General features: G+C 36.9%; 1 protein-coding gene across 7 annotated transcripts in view, besides 1 other annotated feature; it reads left to right on the forward strand.

Annotated features, from left to right (window-relative positions):
• ENPEP (glutamyl aminopeptidase) overlaps nt 1-26,813 on the forward strand; it is an 89,131-nt gene that overhangs the window by 32,173 nt on the left and 30,145 nt on the right. For all 7 annotated transcript variants that reach the window (NR_166842.1, NR_166844.1, NM_001977.4 and 4 more), the window contains 7 exons: nt 1,326-1,480; nt 1,918-2,031; nt 5,088-5,222; nt 7,050-7,115; nt 11,681-11,746; nt 11,888-12,039; nt 22,871-22,950. Coding sequence is in view for 5 of the 7 variants with exons in the window: in NM_001977.4 (NP_001968.3) it covers nt 1,326-1,480; nt 1,918-2,031; nt 5,088-5,222; nt 7,050-7,115; nt 11,681-11,746; nt 11,888-12,039; nt 22,871-22,950 (768 nt within the window). In the remaining 2 variants the exon portion in view is untranslated. The remainder of the gene's footprint in view (nt 1-1,325; nt 1,481-1,917; nt 2,032-5,087; nt 5,223-7,049; nt 7,116-11,680; nt 11,747-11,887; nt 12,040-22,870; nt 22,951-26,813) is intronic.
• Nucleotides 6,606-6,775: an enhancer, noted in NCBI's record as "experimental_72004 CRE fragment used in MPRA reporter constructs". NCBI's record gives its function as "activates a minimal promoter by MPRAs in K562 erythroleukemia cells, with activity observed for both the introgressed and non-introgressed 4:111436174 variant alleles {active_cell/tissue: K562}" and the evidence as "EXISTENCE:reporter gene assay evidence [ECO:0000049][PMID:34662402]".

Raw genomic sequence — 26,813 nt, forward strand, 5'->3', positions numbered from 1 at the left:
CAAACTGCACTCCACAACATTATGAAAAATATTGGCCCTTGGGGGAGATACTTCTCTACTTTTGAAATGACTGTCTTGTGATAAAATAACCAAACCTAAAAATGAGATAACATGAAAAGGAAACTACTATTGTAATCTTGACCTCTACTTAAGATACATCCCTCTTCATTCTTTTATAAAAAGCTCTAAGAATATTTATTTTGGCTGGGTGCGGTGGCTCACGCCTGTAATCCCAGCACTTTGGGAGGCCGAGGCGGGTGGATCACGAGGTCAGGAGATGGAGACCATCCTGGCTAACACGGTGAATCCCCGTCTCTACTAAAAATTCAAAAAATTAGCCAGGCGCGGTGGCGGGCGCCTGTAGTCCCAGCTACTCAGGAGGCCGAGGCTGGAGAATGGCGTGAACCCAGGAGGCAGAGCTTGCAGTGAGCCGAGATCGCACCACTGCCCTCCAGTTTGGGCAACAGAGCGAGACTCTGTCTCAAAAAAAAAGAAAGAATATTTATTTTAACCAGAAAGAAAGGGCCTTCTCTTATATGTTAAGTGAAAAATCAATTTGTTTTCATTTCTGTGCCTCATTTAAATTATACATAATAATAAAGAAATTACATTCTGTTTACAGTTCATTAACTGGGGAAGCTGTATTTTGGCCACTAATCATCTGAGCATTTTCTGTCTTGGGATTTAACATAGAACTGATCAACACTGCCTCCTCCTGTCAGATATTATGTGTAAGACTATAGAAACTCCTGTCCAACATTTTAGAACTGTAAGGGAATCTAGAGAGAATATAGTCAACTCCATGTTTCTCCAACCAATTTAATACATAAAAGCGGATGATAAGCTATTAGATTGGTATTTCTATCAATATTTTATAGAATTAGAGAAAAATGGAGTTTTATATTCTTGAATAATCTGTGTCTTTGGATGGAAAACTGTATCTATACACTTGGAAGCTCAGAACTTCTAAATACTAATTTGAAAACTTCTCTTTTTCCTCACGGCTTATCCCCTAAAACACATGTAGCTAATAAAAATGAAATACAGAGAGAAACAAAAGACATAAAATTATAGAGGCATTGCCATTAGTGTCCTTCTTTAAAACAAAAACAAAGCATTGATATCTGGAGCCAGCAGGGAATGCTCTATGGAAACTTTGAGTGCATTAGGACTGAAATGTTCGCACACATGATTACAGTTCTTTACTCTAAGAAATTATTTTTAGGCTTTTAAAAAACATTCATCCAAATAACTTAATTTGGTAAGAAAAGCTATGAACAAATGGAAAGAATGTATTTCTCACTGGACTCTTTCTTCTTCTATAGATAAAATCGCTATTCCAGATTTTGGCACTGGTGCCATGGAGAACTGGGGACTCATCACGTACAGAGAAACGAACCTGCTTTATGACCCTAAGGAATCAGCCTCATCAAACCAACAGAGGGTGGCCACTGTGGTTGCCCATGAACTTGTGCATCAGGTACAGAATCTTAGCACTGAATCAGCTTGTTTTTTTAAAGTGGCTTAAGACCACAGGAATAATTCAAATTATTTATGACTTAGCAAATAAAAAATAGCCAACTCAGAAAAACTTGCATGAAAATCTTTCTTGGTACTAATAAACATTTAGCCATAAAGAGACTTTGAACCACATTGTTTTGCCTTTAGGAAATATGCACGAGGCCTTCATATAAATTTATGTACCCCAGTAATAACTAAATAAAGGCAATAAACTAAAGACAATTTAATATCATTTAAATAATCAGAATAAAGCAGGAAATAAATGTTAAGTACAATGCCTGCCACTTCTGTCACAGTGACAACATTGGCACGGACAAATAAATGTTTTGACATTTTCTAGGCCTCTCTACCATACCCATAAGAATGTAATTATCTCTTTATTGCTTATAATTTCAGTGGTTTGGAAATATTGTGACCATGGACTGGTGGGAAGACTTGTGGCTAAATGAAGGATTTGCTTCTTTCTTTGAGTTTCTGGGAGTAAACCATGCAGAAACAGACTGGCAAATGGTGAGTCCTAAACACATAAACTTGAAATCTCTCTTTTCCTCATGCAAAGCAGATGGAAGCCTTTGGACTATGATAATGGTCCCGAGTCAGATGGCAAGTACAGTGGTGAGCGGGGAATTCCACTGTGAGGATAGGGTGGAGCCAGCTGACTTCCACTGACTACACCTTGCCCCAGTACCTAGAAGGGCAGCTGATCATCACAATCTGGGGATATCCTTGACAGAGTCACTCAAAACACATTATCAAGGCAGGAAAAAAAAAAAAAAAACAGGTGGCATAGAAAATGTTAACTCTGTGTTCCAGAAAGTATCTATAGCACTAACCCTTTGAAAAAATGTCGGAGTCTCATTTGTGAACGACTTACTTTATTTCAGACAGATTGCAGAAACAGTGTGATGAAGAGATAACATAAATTTAGTAGTTAGATTAGTTAGATTGAAGTTCAAATCCTGAACACATCATTTCTTAGATGCATGACAGGGAATATGACCTTGAGCAAGTTACATAATATCTGAGTCCATTTTCTCCTTTATGAAATAGAACATTATTTTCTATCTTGTAAGCTTAAAAGCTCCCAAATGTGCATGTAATGACTATTAACAGGTAGTGTGTCCCTCAGAGGCCTGGAATAGAAACTTTTATGAACCCTAAAATTTTTTTTCAGAAAAGCTAGGTATAGTTGTTATTTATATTTATATCATGGGAGTATTCTTGATTGCATATATGAATGTGCAAATAGGTGGATGTGTCTAATTACAAGAGGTTTTGTACTGTGTAAAATACTGCCCTCTACTGGACAGAACAAAAAAGTTAAATGCTTGAAGCCCTTACAGTTTCTGTAGCCTGCTTTACAAAGCGAAAAGCCTAATTTACAACAATTACTTCTTTAAAAATCTTATCTACATCTGGATTTTTTTCAACTATGGAACTATTGACATTTTGGAGTAGATAATTCTTTTTTTGTGCGGGACTTTCCTGTGCGTTATAGGATACTTAGCATCCCAGACTTCTATTAACTAAATGCCAGTAACCTGCCAGCCCCTGTTGTGACAACTAAAAATGTCTCCACATATTTCCAGCTGTCTCGTGGGGGACAAAAATCTCCTCCAGTTGAAAACTACTCATCTACATGGAAAATTGCTGATTTTATAATTTATTGAAAATAAACTGTATAAATGGAAAATTGTGTTGTCCTTTATTTTCTCCCATACAGTATACTGAGGCCCTTATAGCAAACTGTTATAAGAAATTATAACATTTTAATATTGTCTAATATTCCAAGTACTGTGTTTCAAAAGCAATGGCTAAATTCCAGAAGAATTTGCTGTGCACTTCTTAAGTGAAATTTAATCACATCGTTCAACACAACAATTAATTCATTCCTTCATCTATTCATTCATTCCTTTTTTTTTTTTTCCTTTTTGAGATGGAGTCTCACTCTGTCACCCAGACTGGAGTGCAGTGGAGCAATCTCGGGTCACTGCATCCTCCACCTCCTGGGTTCAAGCAATTCTCCTGCCTCAGCCTCCTGAGTAGCTGGGACTATAGGCCCTCGCCACCACTCCTGGCTAATTTTTATATTTTTAGTAGAGATGGGGTTTTGCCATGATGGCCAGGCTGATCTTGAACTCCTTACCTCAGGTGATCTGCCTGCCTTGGCCTCCCAAAATGCTGGGATTACAGGCGTGAGCCACCGAGCCCAGCCCATTCATTCATTCTTCATTCAGCAAATGGAGGACTCCAAAATGAATAATGAATAAAATACACTTCTTGCCCTTAAGGAGTTCTCAATTTAAGGTCTTGTGGATGGAAGGGTCAGATAGATAAAGATATTTTATAAGCGAGCTCAATAAATACCACAATCATGGAATACCTCGTTTCACTGGTGAAAAATCGGAAGGCCAGGAAAATGATAGAATTTTCCAACATCACAGAGATAGGTGGTAGCAAAATCCAAAATCACACACACAGCTGGTAGCAAAATCCAAAATCACACACACAGCTGGTATAGTCAATCTTCCTCACACTGAGAACAGGATCTTTCTACTCACCATACTTAAACTTCCTAGGTATACAAAAATCAAAATGCAAGTCAAAATTATCTTGATTGGCAGTCATCACTTGACAGCAGTACCTTTCCTGTTATAAATGAAACCCGCATAATTGGAAAATGTAAGCCAATACAACATACTCCTGTTTTGGAAATATTTTTAATTAAGTAGAGCCAATGAAATTTTTAAAGTTAGTAGTGATTTAGCAGAGTTAGATTTCAGAATCTTACTGCTTAAGAGTCAAAATAACTATAGCAGCTAATGGGTTAGGTTCTCATTCTGTGCCAGGTACTATGCCAAGTACTAACCATGAATTTTATCACTGAGTCCTGTGCACAGTTCCAAAAAGTACAGGCCATAATTACTTCTATTTAATGGGTGAGGAAACTTGCTTAAACTTATATATCTAGAAAGTAAAAAGACTGAGCTTTGAACCAAGGAAATCTGACAGTACTGCTAGGCCTGTCAACCAGTCTGTATTGCTGACAAGACCTAGGAGGGAAACGAGAGGTGATTAGAACTAAAGGATAAACTGCCAATATTTTCTTTCATTAATTATGAAGTATCCAAATTCCAATAACAAGTTAATATTAGAAAAACCTGAACATCAATATTTGGCAAATTGATATGCAACCTCTCTTAATTCTTAGACCAAATCTGTGGAGTGATGTCATCATTCTCATTGCACAGATATAGAAATAGGGCTTGAAAAGTTTGGCACATATCCAAAAGTCACACAGAAGTCGCAGAAGCAGAATTCACAGAAGTTGATGTCTTCTCGGCCTGTCATCTGGGGGAAAATTAAAAGGAATTAGAAGTAGAAGAAGGGCATGAAATCAATATAGCTCAATCAGTGCAAAGTATGATTAATTTGAAGACCTAATGTTTAAGTAACTTAAGTCATTTATATTTATTTTCCTCCAATTTTTCTTATATATGGTATTTTAGTTTATAAACTAGTATAAAGGAAATACTATATTCCTTTGGCTCATTCTTTCATTTCAGCGTGACCAAATGTTACTTGAAGATGTATTACCTGTTCAAGAGGATGATTCTTTGATGTCTTCGCATCCAATTATTGTGACTGTGACAACCCCTGATGAAATAACATCTGTTTTTGATGGAATATCCTATAGCAAGGTGGGAGAAATAGAACATTGTTTTGAACATCTTCCTGTTTAGTGACTTTTCTTTTAGTGGATACCTAAAAATGGTAAGAATGGTCACACTGTGCCAGTGAGCTTTGGAAAACAGTGTAGAAGTTATTCTGAGTGCTGAATATTCAATAGTTTGTACTTTTCAGTATAATTTAGTGCTGGTCATTGTCACAGAATTTTAAAAGAGATTTTTAAGAATTTCTCTTTACACATTTGTATATAATTATTTTCATTCTGATAATTTAATATTTAGACTTGAAGCATCACATTTCAAATTGTTTTATTTGATTTTTTAAAAGACAATAAATCTTTTTCTTCTATGTGGTCAACAAGAAATGCTGTATATGTGCACAGCTTTCCTAGTAGAACATTTTAATGCCTGCAATAAACATTTAAATCCAACTCAGAAGGAAATACTTTTATTCCTTTTTAGAAGATGTAAAGATGAATTTGTTAGCATATTGTAGGTGAGGATTTTTTCTTCACTAATATTTTATGAAAAGTTGCTGGAAATCTGTAACTCCAAGATTTATGTGACACATTCTGTCCCACAATATTTCATATAGTCTCTCCTTCAAACATATTCCACATCTGTATGTAACATAATTTAAATTTTATTTTAGTCATTTTCTACTTCAGCTTCTCATGGGTTTCCCACTACACTGAGATGCTTAGAAGCTACTGCATGCTAATACATTTTGTTATCCTGAGTAATACCTAAAGTCTTATTTGAGTCAAAAATATTATAATTATTAAAATGAATACTTGAGTGAAAAAGCTTCTATGTATTAGCATTTGAAATTCTTAGCATCATATTTTTGACTTTCCCTCTCATATGATTCCCATGGTGTATGTTCAGCCTTCTTGTATTCATTTTTCTTTGATATTATGAATGATTCCTTTTATCTTTATGTCGAAATGAAAATTTCGAATCCACTTATAGCCTATTCTAATTATTCACATGGGAGAAGTTTAAATTTATTCAATCATTTTTCCCCTTAGTCCTAGATACTCCTCAGGTTTAAGATATTATGTCCAAGATAAATAAATGTTTCTAGGCCTTTAGCTTTCTAAATAGGTATAAAATTAATTTAGAATGCTTAATAACTTACAATAAAAATTACTAATTTAAGTGGGGGCAGTGTTCTTTTTTCATTCAGTTACTTGAAAATTGATTTAAAATATTACAAATTGTGCATTTCAGTACTAACCTTATAACACATAAAAAGAAAGTACAGAGCCAAGATGTTCATCAGATTCTTCAGATGAAAGGAAAGCAAATGAGATAGACTACTGAGAAGAGAAAGATTATATGCCTAAATTATGTATCCATGTATATTAAGCTATTTGACCAGATAATTCCTTGACTATCTACTTCCCTCTGCTAAATATAATTCTTATTTTCAAATATGAAAATATATTTAATAAGTTGGCAGAATTTTACCCTGAAACTACTTTCCTCATTCATCAAAGAATGTGATTTTTTAGACTATTTCTCTTTCATTAAGAAAGCCCCATCTGCTGGTTTATTTGGGGAAGTGCAATAATTATTTGAATCTGAAGTCCCTGAAATGATGGCCATTTTAGCAATTTCTCTTTACCTTTTAGTTATTTTAGATGCATAGATACAGGGACTGTGCCAAGTGGTATTTTCATCCTAAAATCATAGAGCCATATAATTTAGCAGAATCATCTTGAGGAACTAATCTCACAAATATGATCATGAAATACTAGTTGCAAGAGTAATAACTGATCATTGTTCCTTACATAGCCTTTATTAGTTTCATTTGTCTTTTTATCCCCATTGTAGGGATCTTCTATTTTGAGAATGCTTGAAGACTGGATAAAACCAGAGAATTTTCAAAAAGGATGTCAGGTATGATTTATTACTTTTAGTGATATCAAAATTAAACTACATTGATATGTGGCTGGTGAATGTTAAGATATGTGATTAATCAAGGATAATTTCCTTTTTAATCTCTTTACTGAGGCATAGATAATATAGCAAAAGATAAAAACATGATTTTACATCCAATTGAGTACCTACATTGTATCTGTAATGATCATTTAGCAGAAGTCTCATGGAGAAGTTGAAACAGATTACTTAGTTATTTTTGAAACTCCTTACATGTGTCTTAGTCAGCTTGGGCTGCCATAAGGAAATACCATAGACTGGGTGGCTTAAACAATAGAAATGCATTTTTCTTGCAGTTATGGAGGCTGGAAAGTCCAAGATCAAAGTGCTGGCTGATTCCGTTTCTGGTGAAGCCTCTCTTCCGGGCTTGCAGATGGTAGACTTCCCACTGTGTCCTCATAGCAGAGAGAGAGAGAGGGAGAGAGAGAGAGCACTCTGGTGTCTCTTATAAGGATACTGGTTCCACCATAAGAGTCCCAGCCTCACGATATCATCTAAATGTGACAGCTCCCAAAGGCTTCGTTTCTAAATACTATCACACTGGGGGTTAGGGCTTATATGAATTTCAGGGAATACGATTCTTTCCATAGCAACATGATATAAACATCTAAATTTATCTATAAAGGTCATTCCTTATACTGAGTACAAGACTTTTCCCTTATTATTAGATTAGAAAAGATCAATATTAGTATGCTTATTACAATGGAGTCAGTGAATAAAGAGGCTTGCTTCCTTTTGGTAACAGAAATGACAATAAACTTTCTGAAACATTTCACACATCCCACTTAAGCGTATTATTCCAGGAGATGTTTCTGTTTCATTTTCGTTTTTCTAACAGACCCTAAGCCAATCGTCCCAGGTTTGTTTTTATTTTTAATTTTATCAAAGTAGCTACAATGTGTCCCTATAACTGCCGTCTCTGCAGGTTGGCCCCATTCCAGCCTAGAAATGAAGTTCTCTTCCTACTCTTTCCCTTCCACCTACATCCTGCCTGCTGCGATAACCCAGGTAGTCAGGAGTAGCAGTGCTGACGGTATTCATCCCAGAGAGCAGAAAACAGGTTGGAGAAATGCCCCCTGCTGGCTGCCACAGAAAGTACTTCTTCTGTATGTGATTCCCCAGGAGAAGGTCACCATTCACATAGATCTCACTCCCATCAAGCCTTCTTATGTGGCATTTAGCCCTCTCTACACTACTCTAAAAGAAAACGGCCCCCTTCTACCCAATAGTGAAACATCTAGGTGATTATTAAAGTAAGAAATAAAGTCAAGATTTCGGAAATATTTGGAAGTATATCAGTATATTTTAACCCTTTGTCTATTAGTAAAATATTTTGTAGAGACATTAGGTGCAAAGAGAGAAGCTATGTGCTTGTGCTTCTGCATCATGAGAACATCTTGTAACTTTTCCATAAGTTTCAAACTCAAATGTTATCATATATTCCCTCACTGTAAGCATTATTATTATTATTATTGTTATTGAGACAGAGTCTCGCTCTGTCGCCAAGGCTGGAGTGCAGTGGCGTGATCTTGGCTCATTGCAACCTCTGCCTCCCGGGTTCAAGCGATTCTCATGTCTCAGTCTCCCGAGTAGCTGGAATTACAGGCACCACCACACCCGGCTAATTTTTATATTTTTAGTAGAGACGGGGTGTCGCCACGTTGCCCAGGCTGGTCTTGAACTTGTGAGCTCAAGAGATCCGCCCGCCTCGGCCTCCCAAAGTGCTGGGATTACAGCCATGAACCACTGTGCCCTGCCCATTGTAAGCATCTTTAATCAGGGACTCTGTCTTCTATATCTTTACCCATACTGCAGGGCCTAGTTTAATTACACATGTTACGTCATCCTGAAAATGTTTGTTAAATGAATGAATGAGTGAATAGCCTATAATAAATTATACAGGACATAGAAATAAAGAAGATTCATTTTCAAAAATTAAGTTAAAATTCAGTTTGTATAGTTTTGATTCTAAATTAAATTGTAATTAATAAATAACAATTTTGGCATCTTCAGAGCTGGCTTCAAATTAAATAATCTTTCATATTGACTTTGATAGAGAAGTACTAAGATTCCTTGAAAATGAATAGCTATCCTAATAATTCCATAAAACTCTCATATTTCCTTTAACCTAGTATCTATGTTATAATTAATTTAAAAAACCGGTTTTGTCTAAAATTAATAATTCTTAAGTTAAAAGTCTTCCTTTAACTGTGATCACAGATGGTGCTAAAAACTGAACTATGAAGAATAGATATTAATATTTCATGCCATTATAGTGCTATGGAATGAATTTACACAAAACACCCAAACACCCTTTTCCTTCAATCTTCAAACACTAGCTAATATCTGAAAATAGTATATGATCGATATGGACCACATCCAATAAACCCTCAGACCAACTGGAACATAGTTCCATAGTTCACATAGTTTGAGCATCCCAACAATATCCTCCTTGAGTTGTCATCATCACTCTATGATTGTTGCCCTGAAATCCCACAGGCTATGAATGGGAGTTCAAGGTATTTCTGTTGCAAATACTAACTTTCTGCCCAAAGTGACTCTTTATTAGCTAACCTGGTGTGGAACTAAATCTGGGGCTGGCCATTTGTCTATTCTCTTTCATGCTCATCACCTTGCCCCAAACTCAACCTCAAACAGCAAAATAGGTGCAGGATGGGGGAAATAAGAGCAAAATTATCAACTGGAAAATCTTTAAGGCTATACATGTACATAAAAGATGTAATAGAGAAGGGGACATTCATAACAATATGTGGTCATGAAATAGAAACCGAGAATATATTCTTCCTTTCTTTTTCTTCTAGTATCAGTAGTACTGTCAATAAGACAGGAATGGGTCAGCTGGAAAATGTCTTTTCCCTTCTTGGGATACTAGTAACAGAAACATTGTTCGTTTCCTTTTGTGCTCACTGATTCCAACTAATAATGAACTGTGACCTAGGTCATCGTGTAATTTTGACTTGAATGATTACATGATTATTCAAGGTGAAGAGGGAAGTGTCTTAATATAGAATATTCAAAAGCACTAATCTAGACAATATAAAATTAGTACCTTTTAATATGCTGATTACATAAATTTCCATTCAGCCTGTGGTTCATGAGAAGCAAGAAACTGCAATTTTAAAAGCAGTAACAACAATAACAGTGATGAAAACCACACACACTGATCCAGGGTTCAGAATTCTCCTCATCATAATCTCAGGCAAATCTCTTCACCTCTGAAGGCACCCAGGTAGTTAGGGAGAGCAGTTTCCTTCACCTCAAAATGTGGGAGCTTTATTAAATAATATTTAAAGTCCCTTCCAGTTCCACGATTGCATGGTTCTAAGCTCAAGACCTTGTAGTAGTCAAACTCCTCTAAATTAATTTTAAAAGATATTCAATAGAAATTGTCATCAAAACACAGCTATGGTTATAACTATTACTATGCCAAGTATTCAATTATTATTATTTAAAAATATTAGACATTTGATTTACCAAATATTCAATTATTTTATTAAGATATGATGAATGATTTGTGCAACTTTCTGTAATGAATACCTAAAAGTGATTGCTGCTTCTCCCTTCCTTTGCCTGCCCTCTGGTGGTAGTGCCAAGAAGTGAATTAACCAAAAGAACAAATATGGAGGCAGCATTCCAAAGTGGCTTCATCCCTCTTCCAGGCTTCTTGGAGTCCTTCTAATACTGTTTTATCTCTATGTCTGAAAAGAAGAGGAATTTAGGAGGTAACGTGATTTAGGTACAGCACCTACTGAAAATTATAGCAACTTAGAGTGAAAATGATATGTGCAAAGTTAACATTAAGAACACTGAAGATGGTTCCATTTTCTATCAAAGACCTCCACTTTCAGTCAGGACAATTCTAGAAAGCAACAGAGGAGTGATACAGCAGGAACTTAGGAAAGTTTACTGGCAAACTCCAAGTGGCTCCCAGTTACGGGATTAGAAGACTGGGAATTTTTTCTGGGGATAAATCACACTATATTTGAAAACTCACATATAGAAAGAGGTTTTGTAAAGAAAATTGCCAAAAGAAGCTTAAATCTAAAAGACTTGTACTTTAAAATATTTGAAGAGTGAAGACTTATGCTTTACAGTGAATAATGTCCCCAATTCATCCACCACCACCACCACCACCACCATCATCATCATTATTATTCAAAAGGTTGTATATTTATTTCCTTAGAGCAGAGATCAGCAAGCTACTGTCTGCTGGCCAAATCTGGCCCACCATCCATGTATTTTTTTTAAGGCTCATAAACTAAATATGGTTTCCACATTATTAAATAGTTGAAAAAAATCAAAAGAAGAAGAATATTTTATGATACATGAACATTGTATGGAATTCAAATATCAATGCAACAGCCGTGCTCATTCATGTACATGTTATCTATGGCTGGTTTTGCGCAATGGAGGTAGAATTGAGTAGCAGGGGTTCAGTTCATCTTGTGAAAGTATGAGAAAAGCAAACATTGACTTCTAACATGCTGATTATTTTTTACACACAGATGTACTTGGAAAAATACCAATTCAAGAATGCAAAAACTTCTGATTTTTGGGCAGCACTGGAAGAGGTAAGGAAGAGTATATGTCCCCAAATATTTCTTTGTCTGATTTACAAATGGCTTACCAATCATTTTCTAATCTAACTATTCTATCCTTTTATTTTCTCATATTTGTTAATTAATTAATCTCCATTTTGTTTTCAATCTTAGGCAAGTAGGCTACCAGTGAAAGAAGTAATGGACACCTGGACCAGACAGATGGGTTATCCTGTGCTTAACGTGAACGGTGTCAAGAACATCACACAGAAACGCTTTTTGTTGGACCCAAGAGCTAACCCTTCTCAGCCCCCTTCAGATCTTGGGTAAGGCTCTATAATGCATTGAAAAAAACACAGAAATTTGGCAGAAATATTGGTAATTTGTTTATATCCTATTGTTGAGTACATGATGGATGAGTGATATACAAGTATAAAGCCACAGTGCCTTTAGGGGAACAAGGAATTCAAAAATAGCCAAGTGATTTCCAGGTTTGAAATGGTGGGCAGAGCACATCCATCCGCATCCTGTTCTTTACAGATATTGAAGAGAGGAATGGAATTACCTAAAGAAATAAACCTACAAGAATAAAGAAAATAAAGGGAGGGGCTGTAAGTGTCACAGAGTTCTGAAGAAGTAAAGCAGAAGGAGAAATACAGACTGAGGAAAATACAACCAGATAATAATAAGGGAACTTCCCTATCCCTAGACAGGTTCTAGGTACAGTGTTAGCATGAAGACTGAAGGGTAAGAGTGAGAAGTGAGGCTGGAAATAGGACAATGAATTGAAAGTCTAGTCTCAGGACAATTTGTGCCAGCTGGACCCACCCCTCACCCCTACTTTCTCTCCGCCACCTACCATTTCTTTCTCTGCACACAGCTCTCAGAAATCTGGCAATGGCTCCAGGAAAAAATACAGTGGGCTTGTTTCCTAAAGAAATTGACTAAAACAGTAGAGGAGAGCTAAGGATTTCCATTTGGTTGAGACTCTCAGAGTAAAGCCTCCCTCATTATGTTATTTGCAGGATGGGTGGGCTGGAGCTGACAGCACCCCTCATACACACAGGCAGAGCTCCCAGTCAGACCTTCTGCTCAGCAGAGAAACTTACTTCAAAAATACAACTCCCTTCAGCCTGGGCAACATAACAAGAGCCTGTCTCTACAAAAAATTTTTAAAAAGGCACTGGAGTATGGTAGTTCATGCTTGTAGTCCTAGCTAGTCAGGAGGCTGAGGCATGAAGACGACTTGAGTCATCTCAAGTCAGGAGTTTGAGGCTTCAGTGAGCCATGATCACAACACTGCACTCCAGCCTAGGTGACAGAGCAAGAGCTCATCCCTAAAAATAATAAAATAAAATAAAATAAATAATTATATATATACACATATATGTATGTATAAAATCCCTTCTCGATAATAGAGAGAGTACACGCCAGCTACTAGAATCAATTTAACTCTTTCTTAAATATGAATGACAAAGATCACAAGATACATGAAAAAATTTGGAAGGATAAAAGGTTAAAATTTCATGTGAACAAACAACTCCTGACTTTATAAGATGCATAATTAAGGAAACAAAATAAATGTATGAGATGCATTCAGAGATGAAGAACTATTACACCAATGAACCAGGAGCAGAATGTCTTAGAAAGGACAAATTGAGAACACAAAAGAACCTGAAAGATTAGATTTCTGATTCTCAAAAGAATTAATAGACCAACTAAAAATAAATTTGGCAAATCCTCCAAAAATACAGGGCAAACACACATAGAGCTAGCAAATATAAAAGAGAAGACAAATATGAACAGTCTAGCACCCAACAGATAGGTGTTTTTATTTTTTGGCTTTTTTTTTTTTCGAGACAGAGTCTCACTCTGTCACCCAGGTTGGAGTGCAGTGGCGCAATGTCAGCCCACTGCAACCTGTGCCTCCTGGGTTCAAGCAATTCTCCTGCCTCAACCTCCCAAGTAGCTGGGATTACAGGTGCATGCCACCACACCCGGCTAATTTTTGTATTTTTAGTGAAGGCGGAGTTTCACCGAGTTGACCAGGCTGGTCTTAAACTCTTGACCTCGGGTGATCCACCCACTCAGCCTCCCAAAGTGCTGGGATTACAGGCGTGAGCCACTGTGCCTGGACTAGATAGGATTCTTTTTTTTTTTGAGACAAACTCTCACTCTGTCGCCAGGCTGGAGTGCAATGGCAGGATGTTCGCTCACTGCAACCTCTGCTTCTCGGGTTCAAGCCGTTCTCCTCCCTCAGCCTCCTGAGTAACTGAAACTGTAGGTACACGCCACTACACCCAGCTAAGTTTTGTATTTTTTAGTAGAGATGGGGTTTCACCATGTTGGCCAGGATGGTCTTGATCTTCTGATCTCATGATCCATGCACATTGGCCTTCCAAACTCCTGGGATTACAGGTGTGAGCCACCGTGCTCAGCCAATAGGCGTTCTTTAAAAGGAAAACAGAGAAACTTGGAGGCAAATAATATCAAATACATAATAGAGGACACAAGGATTCTGATTAACAGACCCCACTTAGTAAACAGTACAAACAGGAAAAACCAAAACCCCAAAACATACGTAGATACACCCTCACAAAATTTCAGAAAACAGAGACATAAGTTAGTGTGGCATTAGACTTCTCCACATCAACCCTGAATGCAAGAAGCGAATGAGGCAATGCTTCCAAAACACTGAAGCAAAAAATATTTTCAGCCTCTAGTTCTATACCCAGTAAAATTAAACCAAGTGTGAAAGTACATTAAAGACGCTTTCAGAAATGCAGCCCCAGAAAATGATTTCCACATAACACTTTTTTGAAAGTTACTTAAGGCTGCACTTTAGAAAGGGTTTTGGGGGTTGGAGGAGAAAGAGAAAGAAAAGAAGGGAGGATATGAATAAATAAAAAAAAAGTGAAATACATGGGACACAGGATCCAGGAAACGGTACATCCAACCTAGGAAAACCACGAAAGGAAATGCTCAGGGTGCTGTGAGTGCCTGTAAGGGCAGGATGACTGGAGCTGAGGTAGGCGATCTCCAGGAAAAAGAGAAATTCTCTCCAGTGGGTAGTGCGGTTGGGAAGATGAAAAAAACTTGAGGATTTGGTGAAAGCCCATCCGTTTGGTCAACTATAAAAAAGAAAATTAGAAAAAACCCAAATCAAAGACTATATATAAAAATTATGATCCAAAAATATGAAGCGGAGTTCTCACAAGATCTGATGGTTTTATAAGGCCATTTTCCCTGCTCTTGCTTGCTCTCTCTCACCTGCCGCCATGTAAAATGTCCCTCTCCCCCTTCTGCCATGATTGTAAGTTTCCTGAGGCTGCCCCAGTCGTACAAAACTGTGAGTAAATTAAACCTCTCTTCTTTATTAAAAAATAACAAAAATATGAAGCAGATAGAATGATTTTATGCCATTGATACAGTATAAGAAAAGGCTCTGATATTAGAGAAATTTTACTTAAGTGGCTCAGGGGCCATGAAATTGGACCATGGTGTAAGAAATAGATCTCCCCACACTCCTTGACCAACACTATATACAATATACATGCTATAATTTCATAAATATTAGGTATTGACTTTTAACTTTATAATCAGCCAATGGAAAATGTAAACATTTTTGTTATGGTGGCAGAATAAATTGCAAATATAAAGTCTTGACATTGTAACAAGAAAAATCAACTGACAAAAAAAGGACATGGAAGAGGGAGAAAAGGTGGGAGAAAGTGTTGGGATACTACTTCAGTGGTGTGCAGGAACGGCTGTCTTCCCAACTTAGTAACATTTTCTTGTCAGTGACATGTTGGTAGCTTGAAAATGCTCCTGATGGGAGTATTACGTGGAAATGAGCAAATACTACGTTTTGCCCATATGAAAACTGGGTGTTAAACATTTACCAGTACTCCAGTGGATATCCTCATTTAAGTCAGGAGAGTAGTTAAGACTAAAATTTATGAAGCAAGAAATGGCAGTATGAGTATATTATTTAGAGGCACAATTACAAACTACAGAAAATCTAAAAATAATTTTATTTTATTAAATTTTATATTAAAAGAGAAATGGAAGAGAAAGTAATATATATATAAGCTCAATCACCCTCTTTTAATGGGTAAGTTAATAAATATTGTCTAAATAAAACAACAGAGGCATTTAAAGTCCAATTAGACTACAAAAGCACTAAAACCAGATCACTTAATAGGGGATGCTTCCGAGCAGGGCTGGCCTGTGGGAAGGGTGAGTAAGGAGATGGTGGTTTTTCAACACTAACTTTTTAAGTTTTTGAGTAGTGATGAATTTATCTACAAATTGCACACATTAAATTCTCCTGAGCATTTAAACAGCACTTACAAACTTAATCAAGTCCTCTTAAGGATATATCACTTACAAGAAACTTATAAATGTAACCAAATTCTTCTAAACAACACTAGCTAAAATTTTACCGAATTCATTTACAATTTCAAAATACAAACACCACCAAAGAAGCAGATTTATAAGTCTAATTAAAATTTTTTCTATATATTTTATGAATCCAACAAATTAAAACTCAAATATAGTGTATCAAATTTCTTGCACATTTTCATTATGTTAAAAATCAAACCCTTAACAGGATTTTTCTAGACATTTAAATATGGCTACTGAGTTAAGATTTTCTAAGTATTTCAATTAAAACAATTCCAGTATGTCATTTTCTCTACTTTGCCAAATGTATTTATTTATTTAATTTATTTTCTGAGACAGGGTCTTGCTGTATCACATAGGCTGGAGTGCATTGGTGAAATCATAGCTTACTGCAGCCTCAATCTCCTGAGCTCAAGTGATTTTCTCACCTCAGCCTCCCAAGTAACTGGGACTACAGGTGCTCACCAACATGCCCAGCTAATGTGTAAAAAAGTTTTTGTAGAGAAAAGGTTGTTCAGGCTGGTCTCAAACTCCTGAGCTCAAGCGATCCTCCTGCCTTGGCCTCTCAAAGTGTTAGGATTACAAGTGTGAGCCATCGCAGATGACCTCAAATTTTAAAAAATGTTTTATATATTGTAAAGGCTGATAAAGCATGCAAAGCACAGCTGAGGATTTCAAAACTTATCACACCTGCATGAATACAACTTGCACAAAAATCTTAATACTATAAACATTTCTGCATAACTAAATCGTTATTTTTGTATGTATTTCTTGGGTGCCAGCTGCTCCCATCTGAAGGAAACAAATTCAAAATCTCAGGAACTCCAGTCCCGGGCCTGGCCCCAGGAGCTGGGATGTACCACTCTGGGGACATCTTCCTAGCCCGGGTTACCCAGCTGAGCCCCTCCTAGAGTGGATACTGGCAGCGTAGCACATCACTAGTCCTCTGGACGTTGTTCCCATTTCACCCATGCCCAGTTTTTATTGCCCCCTCTTTCAACATTTGAATGCTTTGCTTGAGCAGAGAGAATCTTCACCCGTTCCCACCCACGTGTCCTCTAATCTCCACTGCCTGATTGTCACTGAAGAGACACTTTGTCTTCTTTTTCTCCTTAATGACTTCATTGACATTATTTTATAGTCACATATATAAATTATTGTAAGATCAATTATCTTGTAGCAATTAGAATAACACAAAAAGATGTTTTAGAAAGTCTTTAACTCTAAACTGGTTCCTTTATAGTTACTGGTCTATGTTCTAGCAAATTAGGTTGGCCAACTCTAATAACCACTGGAATATTTGGATATTAAATCTAAAAATATGTCTCTTGTCAAACAAGCTTCCATTTGGAAAGTTTCACAGTAATTATTCTCTCTTACTATATGAGTCCACTGATTTGCTGAGCCTCAATTAATTGGGAGAGGGAAGCAGGAGGTGGAGTAGGGCAGGGAGGGTCACAGAAGGCTTTCTTTTCCAGGGATGTGATATTTAAGGTGAGCAAATTGGTGTGGGGAAGTGACTTCTCTGGATGTTCAAAATAGAAACTATGGCCGGGCGTGGTGGTTCATGCCTGTAAGCCCAGCACTTTGGGAGGCCTAGGTGGGTGGATCACTTGAGGTCAGGAGTTTGAGACCAGCCTGGCCAACATGATGAAACCCCATCTCTACTGAAAATACAAAAATTAGCCGGGCATGGTAGCACACACCTGTAATCCCAGCTACTCGGGAGGCTGAGGCAGGAGACTCGCTTGAACCTGGGAGGCAGAGGCTGCAGTGAGCCAAGATCATGCTACTGCACTCCAGCCTGGGTGATAGAGTGAGACTCTGTCTGAAAAAAACAGAACAAACCCCCCGCCCCAAAACAGAAATTACAGCGTATATGAAAGCCCAAAGTCTTATACACATGATTTACAACACTTATTGAACATTGACCAAGTGGTTGGCACTATTTTAAGCACTTCAGATGCATTTTATTTTATAGTAAATGAGGAATTTGTGGTAAAAGTGATTAAGTAATTTCAAGGTCACACAGTGTAAATAATGGAGGCTTGATGTAAACCCAGGCAGTCTGGTTCCAAGAAACGGGATAGCAGAGAGTGACTGGGAAAAGTGGTGTGAGGTGAAGACGAAGAGGAAGGCAGGAACCAGGTATGCAGACCATGTTAAAGATTTTGAAAATAGTATGCAAATTTAAGGATTTTAAGGAGAGAATTGGCAGGGTCACATTTACATTTTTCAAAGCTCTCCTCTTGCTGCACTGTGGAGAACTGATCACAGATCCTGGGCAGTTGGGGAGGAGTGGAGGCAGGGAGACCAGTTAGGACAATATTGCAATGAGCAGCCCACGTGATAGTTGATGGAAACAATAAGCCTGGGCTAGGTAGGAGTGGCTGTGGGCTGGAGGGCATGGCAGATGTTCCAAAGATTTTATTGAGCTAAAATTCCTAATTAAAGAACAATGTGGAAGGAATTCAATCAGGTGAATTGGCGGAGAACAATCTCCTTTTAGAATATTGTTCTCATCTTGCACCACAGTGATCGTAGCCATATTTATTCAGAAGAGAAAGATCTTTATAGTCTCATTTCATGATGGGTACTCTATAAGGGGGGTAACAGAGCCTGTTTCCTGGATTACAATTCAGGGCTTGGGGAAATAAGTCACACTACAGCACACTCAGGTGTTTCCAAAAATTAAAATTGCCGAAGCACTTGACTTTCCAAGGCATCAGAGAATGATGAACTCTCAGAATTATTAAATTAGCTGCTTCCAAGATGCCAGTTGACACCTGAACTGGAGAAGCATTGAGAAAGCCGTTGTACTCAACTCGTTGAGGCTCATTTCCGGCCTCTCTTCCTGGAAACCTCAGACACCCAGCCTCCCACACTAAGTGACATTCAGAGAAACTGGGTATCCTGCTATAATGCGAGTTCTGAAAATCAATAGGTCACACCACAACAAAGGAAAATTTGACTACTTAGACCAATATGAGGTCCCTTCAGGGAGTGTCTGTATACTCCCTGAACTCTGCAGGTAAGTGTACTCCTTACCTTTATTTTAGAAAGGAAAGATTAGATGATGATGGAGAAAACATTTGTTTTTCACTTTTTCCTCTTCATGATACATGAATTGAAACATAGATCTGACTTGTTTTCAGGTGATAATTCAACTACGAAAATCATAGAATAATCTCTGTGGTAGTTCTGCTAACAACTATAAAGTGTTTCTTTTATAGTTACTGTTTTGTGTTCTAGCAAATTAGATTAACTATTTAATACTGCTGGAGCCTCTGGATATTAAAATTTAAAAAGTATTTCTCTCTTGAGAAATAAACTTACACTGGGAAAATTTCCCAGTAACTGTTACTTCCTCTCATATGTATCCATTAATTTGTTAAGCCAAAGACAGTCAACAATTTAAGCCAAAGACAGTCAACAATTTAAACTAAGGAGTTTTTTTAATTAATGGGGTTGGATTTTTACAAGCTGCTTGTTGGTTATGAATTTCTCTTCACACAAACCAAACAATTTTACTGCCAAGTGAACTAAATATATCATCACGGTATAAAATCAATTTTTGTAACAGTAAATTTTAAAATTTTATTCACCAAGACTTAGAACATAGAACTGTATTCACATTTATACTGTCTTTAATATTTGTCTTCAGTTTCCACCTTCAGATACTATTTTCATTTTATTTATATTCTTAGTTGCATGAATTTTTTTGTGATGGCTTATCATAAAGTTAATATGTTCATTCTATTTTTATTTTTTAAGAAGTCATATATGCATAGGAAAAGAGACTTAGAAAAGAGGTTCTTCTCTGTTGAGAAAGTTTGTTAAAAATCCGTAGTAGCTCCTGAACAAATAAGAAAGAACCATTATAGCAAAAGGATTCTTCTTTGTTTAAAAGAAGAATTTGATCATAATAAATGCCTTCATGCACCCATAAAGGAATTAGCTTTTTTTCCAATCCTAACTTCCATCTACTTTCTGTTCAGATGTGTTCCTGTTTGGTAGACAGTGTGGCCAGTTAAGTTGTACTGTGAGTTCAATGATCTTCTATAAATATTTTCTCACTGTTTAAATAATCCAAGATTAGGGAATTCTTACTGACTAGAACCTTTTTATAATTCAAATGGCTCACCCATGTATAAGTTATTGCTTTAACACCATGTCCTCAACCATCTCTTAGAAATGAGCCAGTTTCACATCTCCATCCCGGGATGTCTCTCTCAGGAAAGCATATGTGCCTTTGATAGTCCACTCCATGTAAACAGGCAGAGGGAATGGGAGTAAGTGTGTCAGCTTGGTGCAATCAAAGTCAGTTTCCTTAGAGAAAATTAGAGTGGCCATATTTCATACTGCTAGAACCTCTTACATGGTTAGATAGTGAAGAACTATGTCTATAAAAATGAATCCTGATACTCCTGAATGTTAGCCAATATGTAGAAAACTCAATCGTTTCATTTATGTAATTTCCATTTCTTCACATTTTATACTCTCAAGTCTGTGATTTTACTCAGCTTAGATTACATTAGATCATGTGATTCTAAAACTATAAAATTGTATAGCCTCAACTTTCTATCATTTTTATCTTATGATACTCTTAAAGACCTCAGAGCAGTATTTTTGTACATGAGATTAGGAGAACAGCTTCTGCCCTTTTGAGGCCTGGTGTAGTCCCAGAGGCCATGTTTTAGAGAGGATAGTCAAAATAGGAAACCTTAACTGTGGGCCTAGGTCATCCAGACGCTGCCTGCTCTGTTGTTTCAGTCAGATTGGCATTGGGGAAAGAAGAGGAAGCATAAAATGTGAGTTTACATGGCAGCACCAATTCAGCAGACCAGTGCAAGTGAGGTATATAGGTAAGATGTGGCATCTTAGGAATGTTCTTTGTCGGTCTTCTGAGAAGCTGCAAGGGCTCTTAGTTTGGTGTCCCTAGAAGCAGACCCCGAAATGATCATGTGTGTGAAAGTGACTTGTTAGAAAGTGTTTCCAGGAAAGATCAGTGGGGGAGCAGGCAGTGGGATAGAGAAGGAAAGGAAGCCCAGCAAAGGTGCTGTATGAAGCAGGTCCTGAAGAGAGTAACTTTGACTTAGTCCTGCAGGAAAGTCCTGGAGCCAGTGCAGATCATACTTCAGAGTGCTCCTGATGGATGGGGCAGGAAGCATTCTCACACCTGTCACTCACTGTTAAGGGCCACATCCAGAAGGACGTAAATTCCCAGGAACTTCTGGCTTTCCTTGCTCAGGTAGCTGGAAGGCAGTCCTCTGTCAGAGAGACCCAGGTATTGATTGTAGGCAGGGAAAGCACACTGGTATCCAAGGTGTACAAAAATGACAAAGGGGGCCGGGCACAGTGGCTTATGCCTGTAATCCCAGCACTTTGGGAGGCCGAGGCAGGTGGATCACCTGAGGTCAGGAGTTCGAGACCAACCTGGCCAACATAGTGAAACCCCGTCTCTACTAAAAATACAAAAAAATTGGTTGGGTGTGGTGGCAGGTGCCTGTAATCCCAGCTACTTGGGAGGCTTAGGCAGGAGAATCACTTGAACCTGGTAGGCGGAGGTTGCAGTGAGCCGAGTCCGTGCCATTGCACTCCAGCCTGGGCAACAAGAATGAAACTCCGTCTAAAAAGAAAAAAAAAGAGAGAAAGGGGTCTAAGGAGATAAGGAGGAAGCACTGACAGTGTCCACTATAAGGCCCAAGAAGCAATTTATGTGTTGGTTTTATGAAACGTATAGCCAAAAACATTCCACTGCAGTAAAATGCTCCAAAGGAGCTGATTTTAAAAAAACTCAATCCTGTAAAACACTTCAATAGTTATAAAACAAGGGATTACTTCTTTCAGGTATATAGCAAAAATATATTCTCCTTGAATGACATACATTTTGTTATATCTTGAAAAGGTGAAATGTTAACCCTAATTCTCTGTTAGGGAATTGAATGTTGACAGATAAACCAACTTTGAGTTGAAACCTAAACCAGCCAATGGTACGTAGATTCACCTTCTCTCCAGATCTGCATTTTCTGATATGAGATGATATAAGAACAAACCAAAAAAAATGAGATTTCAAGACAAAACTGTTAAGTGTATATATCAAAATACAAAGTTAACTCCCACCTACCCACTCTGCAGGAAAATACTAAGTAGCTAAAGAGAAGCACTGAAAACTCCTGAAACATGCTTACCTGATGATTCTTCCCTTGAGCACTTCAGTTCTAGTTCTAAATAGGGGATATTTAGGGGAGGGTATGAGAGGCTTTAGGGGATGATGGTGGTGGTAGACTTTCAGCATAATTTCTAAAATGTGTTATTTCCTTCACAGAGTTTACTATTTGTCTTCTAATTTCTAAAAATGTTTTGTGTTCCTTGATGGAAATGGTAGCATATTAGACTGTGTGCAAGTATGTGTGTGAATGTTCAATATTATAATAAGATGTATTATATTTGTGTAATTTATGCAATATCTTTATTCTAAAATGCCAAAGCATGTTATTGAAATAATCTTTTTCATGCTTAGCTAATTTTTGATGCAATTTCTAAATTTTATAGATTTATAGAAATTGAGAACAGTTACACAGCTTATCTTCATCACTAAAATGTTGTATTAACTACATTAATTGTGTAGTATGGACTAGATAATCATTTAAAAGAAAAATATACTTGTCTATTGCTTTTTAGTGATTTTTACTCTTGAAATTTTATCTTTTAGTAATAAAAGTTAAATTTTTCTTTTTAAAAAAATTTTAGTTATACATGGAATATCCCAGTTAAATGGACTGAAGATAATATAACAAGCAGTGTGTTATTTAATAGGTCAGAAAAAGAAGGTAAATATTATTAATTGATTTATTTCTTCTTTGAATTGATGTACCACATTAAACTAATATAAGTATAAAGATGCAACAGTAAAGCTGGAACTTATGTAAACTTCAGCTAAGTGATCTCTTAAATAATTTATTGATGATTCCAAATCTTCATCTACAATCAGAACTGTTATACCTTGAGATATTCTTTTCAATGATTTATCTTGACTGACTGATTTATCATAAATACCCATATCCAAAGGAGAAGGGTCGCATGCCCAACAATTGGAAGATCAATGTGTAAGTTTCCTTCCTTCCTTCCTTCCTTTTTGTTTTTTCTTTTATCAGATAAGCCATTGAATTTCTTTAACTGTTATATGACAAGCCTGAGGATTTTTTTAATGCTCCCATTAAATTAGACCATTTTTTGGAAATATATTTGTGTTCTATCTGCACTGATTTATTTTTTCCTTACTTGAAAAATGTTAGAGTTGTATAAAAACAAGTAAACCTTCTCACGAAATTCCAGATTGATGAAAAAAATAATAGATAAGGCAAGCTTTAGCTGCAATCTTGGAAAGAATCCTTCTTTTTATATTTTTTCCATTGTATTTGTTTTGGTGTTTCAAAACTATTTCTTTTCTAAGACAAACCAGACTCATCTTTGCCCCATTTCATGAGGACTTGATTTAGAATAGTATTTGGTATGGACTTTCACTTGTGTCTTCTTGAAGATAAAAGTAGATCACTCATTCTTTATTTACATATGCCTAGTTGCTCATGTAAAATATTTTAAAATATTAATGAGGTATGATTTCTCCTGGCCAATAAATTTTTACTCTGTTTCCAGTAGATTGCCTTTTAAGAACAGCTTTACTGAGATATAATTCACATACCATAAAATTCACCTATTTAAAGTGTACAATCCAGTGTTTTTTAGTGTATTCACAGATGTGTAATCATCACCACAGTCAGTTTTAGAAACCCCATACCCTTTAGCTGTCATGCCTGCAGCCTCCCATATGCCCAGCCCTAAGCAACCACTAATGTATTCCCTACCTCTATAGATTTGTCTCTTCTGGTCATTTCACATAAATAAAAGTGTATATGCAGTATTTTGTGACTTTTCAATTAGCATAACGATTTCAAGGCTCATCCATGATATAGCATGTAACTCTACTTCATTCCTTTTTATTGCCAAATCATATCCCATTATATGGATATACCACCATTTGTTTATCCATTTATCAGTTGATAGATATTTGGATCATTTCCACCTTTTGTCTGTTATGAATAATGCTGCTATAAACATTTGTGTATAAGTTTTTCTGTGGATCCAGCATGTTTTTTCCACCTTTGGGCCTTTTAAAAAAAAACGTTTATTGTTAACAGTTTTTGTGATTTTTTTTTACTATTACTACAAACTACCAGCTTTGTCATTATAGAGGTGAAATCCTTCTGAAGCCCTTCTGCACAGGGATTGCTATTACAACAAAACTCTCTCTTGCTTATTTATGTTAATAATTATTGTAATATCGTGATCAAAAAAAATTCTAAATTTTTGCAGAATTCCCAGATCAATGCCACTTTGTTTTAGTATTTTATGCTGTGTTTCAATGCGAGGCTCTATCTTTTGTGGTCTTCTGACCATTTTCTTATTCATAAGTACACTTGCCAGAGGAAAAGGGAGAAGACAGAAAAAAAAAAGACATTTTCAACAATGTGTAACAGCACTGGTAAAAGACATAATAAGAACGTTAGAATTCCACTGGAAGGTTTTCAGTGGATTTGGTTTAACTATTACTAAATATTTTCCCCATTGGTCACCATAGTTAATTGAGGATTGGAAGAATATCTCGGCAGCTGTTTGATTTACTGTTTACAAGTTTGAAAGCGTGAATAATTCATCTACCCTAGTACAATTCACCCAGCACTTTCATGGAATGAAGTTTCCATACAAGTGAATTTTCCAGATAACTAAAGCTTACTCAAGTGCTTTGTAAAATGCATTTCAAGAGTTCACAATAGACATTGTTCTAATATGTGTTATGTACTCCTTAGAATATTTGGAATAATAAATTTAATCCTTAATTACTAGATTAATTCTTTCAAGCACGTATTGCTTATGTGCAAAACACAGAGATAAGAATGGGGGCAGTGCTGGAGCAAAAAAAAAAAAAAAAAGCAATCCTAACCCTTGTGTAGATGGTTGTCTAGGGATGGGTTTGCAGGCAGACATAATGCTGTGTCCTAAGTGCCTCTGTGGCAATGCAGATCACCAAAAGCACTCATAGAAGCATCAGCCCAGGTTTGGGGGTTCAGGAAGCATTCCTAAAAAATATCTAGGCTGAGAGTTCAGAGGCTAAGGATAGAGTATAAATGGGTGATAAAAATTGAATGTAGAGGAGACGTGTGCTCTGGACAGAAGCATGACTGTGAAAGTGAAAGAGCAGGGAGTTCTCACACTCCTTCGTATCCCTTTGTCAATACATTTCACACATTTTTTTGTTCTAACTATTGACCTATCTATGTCTCCCCTCCCCACAGAATATTCTTAGAGGAAATGGAGCTTATTTGTTATTGTTGTTCTGGATCTACAGCAGGCATCTAATAATTGTTTATTGAATAAATGAATGAATAAACAAATAAATGAAGAGGCTGATAGTTACAGAGCTTTGATGACAAATCTGCCTTTATCTGAAACTTCAGAATCATGTCTGGTCACTGAGCCAGAAGCAAACTAGAGGTCTTTTTCTACTTCAAAGTGTCTGCTCCATTTTTAGGCTGTACAATAAGTTCCTGTTTCCTGTTTAAGGACATCTTCAGCTCTCAGCTTAGAGCACGGATGACGAACATGTCCTGAGTGTACTAAATGGGCAACCAGCTCATGTTACCAGTCCTACCTCCCTCCTCTTGGTTTCTTTGATGATTCATTAGTTAGAAATTCTTCAGGCAATAGTGGGACTCTCCCCAAGGTCTTTTATTTACATTTCTATTGTATGTGCTATTTTAGGCGTTAAAACAACAACTAAACTCATAATTTCTAATGAAAGAAGAGAACCTCTATTATAAAACATTTTCTGGCTACTCCAGTTACCCTGAATAATCTCTCCTGTCATCATCTCCTGTCATAAAATATAGTATATTTTATCCTGTCACTTTCATCAGCCCTTATTCCTAGTATTATTACTTTATATTTTAAACAAAATCATTGTTATTAAGCTTCATATGTTCTCTCTTTTCGTTGTTTCTTTTTTTTTTTTTTTTTTTTGGGACAGAGTTTTGTTCTTGTTGCCCAGGCCGGAGTGCAGTGGAGCGATCTCAGCTCATTGCAACGTCCGCCCCCTGGGTTCAAGTGATTCTCCTGCCTCAGCCTCCCATGTAGCTGGGATTACAGGTGCCTGCCACCTCAGCTGGATATTTTTTTGTATTTTTAGTAAGGATGGGGTTTCACAATGTTGGCCAGGCTGGTCTTGAACTCCAGACCTCAGGTGATCTACCTGCCTCAGCCTCCCAAAGTGCTGGGATTATAGGCATGAGCCACCGCGCCTGGCCTCTCTTTTTTTTTTCTCAACTAAATTATAAGCTTCTTGATGACACAAACTACACATATTTCTTGTCTCCTGTCCACCCTATTATCAACAAGGTGCTACGTACATTCTGAGTTCAGAAAGTCCTAGTTTAATGAAGGGTTGTTTGCCCCAGAATGCTGTACTTTTAGAGGTTAACTGCATATATTTTAGTTATGTCTCCATCTTTTAGTATCAGCTGCTATTTTGGCTATTGTTAATGCATCCACATTTAGTAGCATACCACCTGTTTGCATTTAATTTACTGCTTTCTAACATTTAGAAGGATTGAAGGTTGTTATATGGTGTCAGGTAACC

This window comes from Homo sapiens, chromosome 4 (genome assembly GCF_000001405.40).
Source record: "Homo sapiens chromosome 4, GRCh38.p14 Primary Assembly".
Classification (NCBI taxonomy): Eukaryota; Metazoa; Chordata; class Mammalia; order Primates; family Hominidae; genus Homo; species Homo sapiens.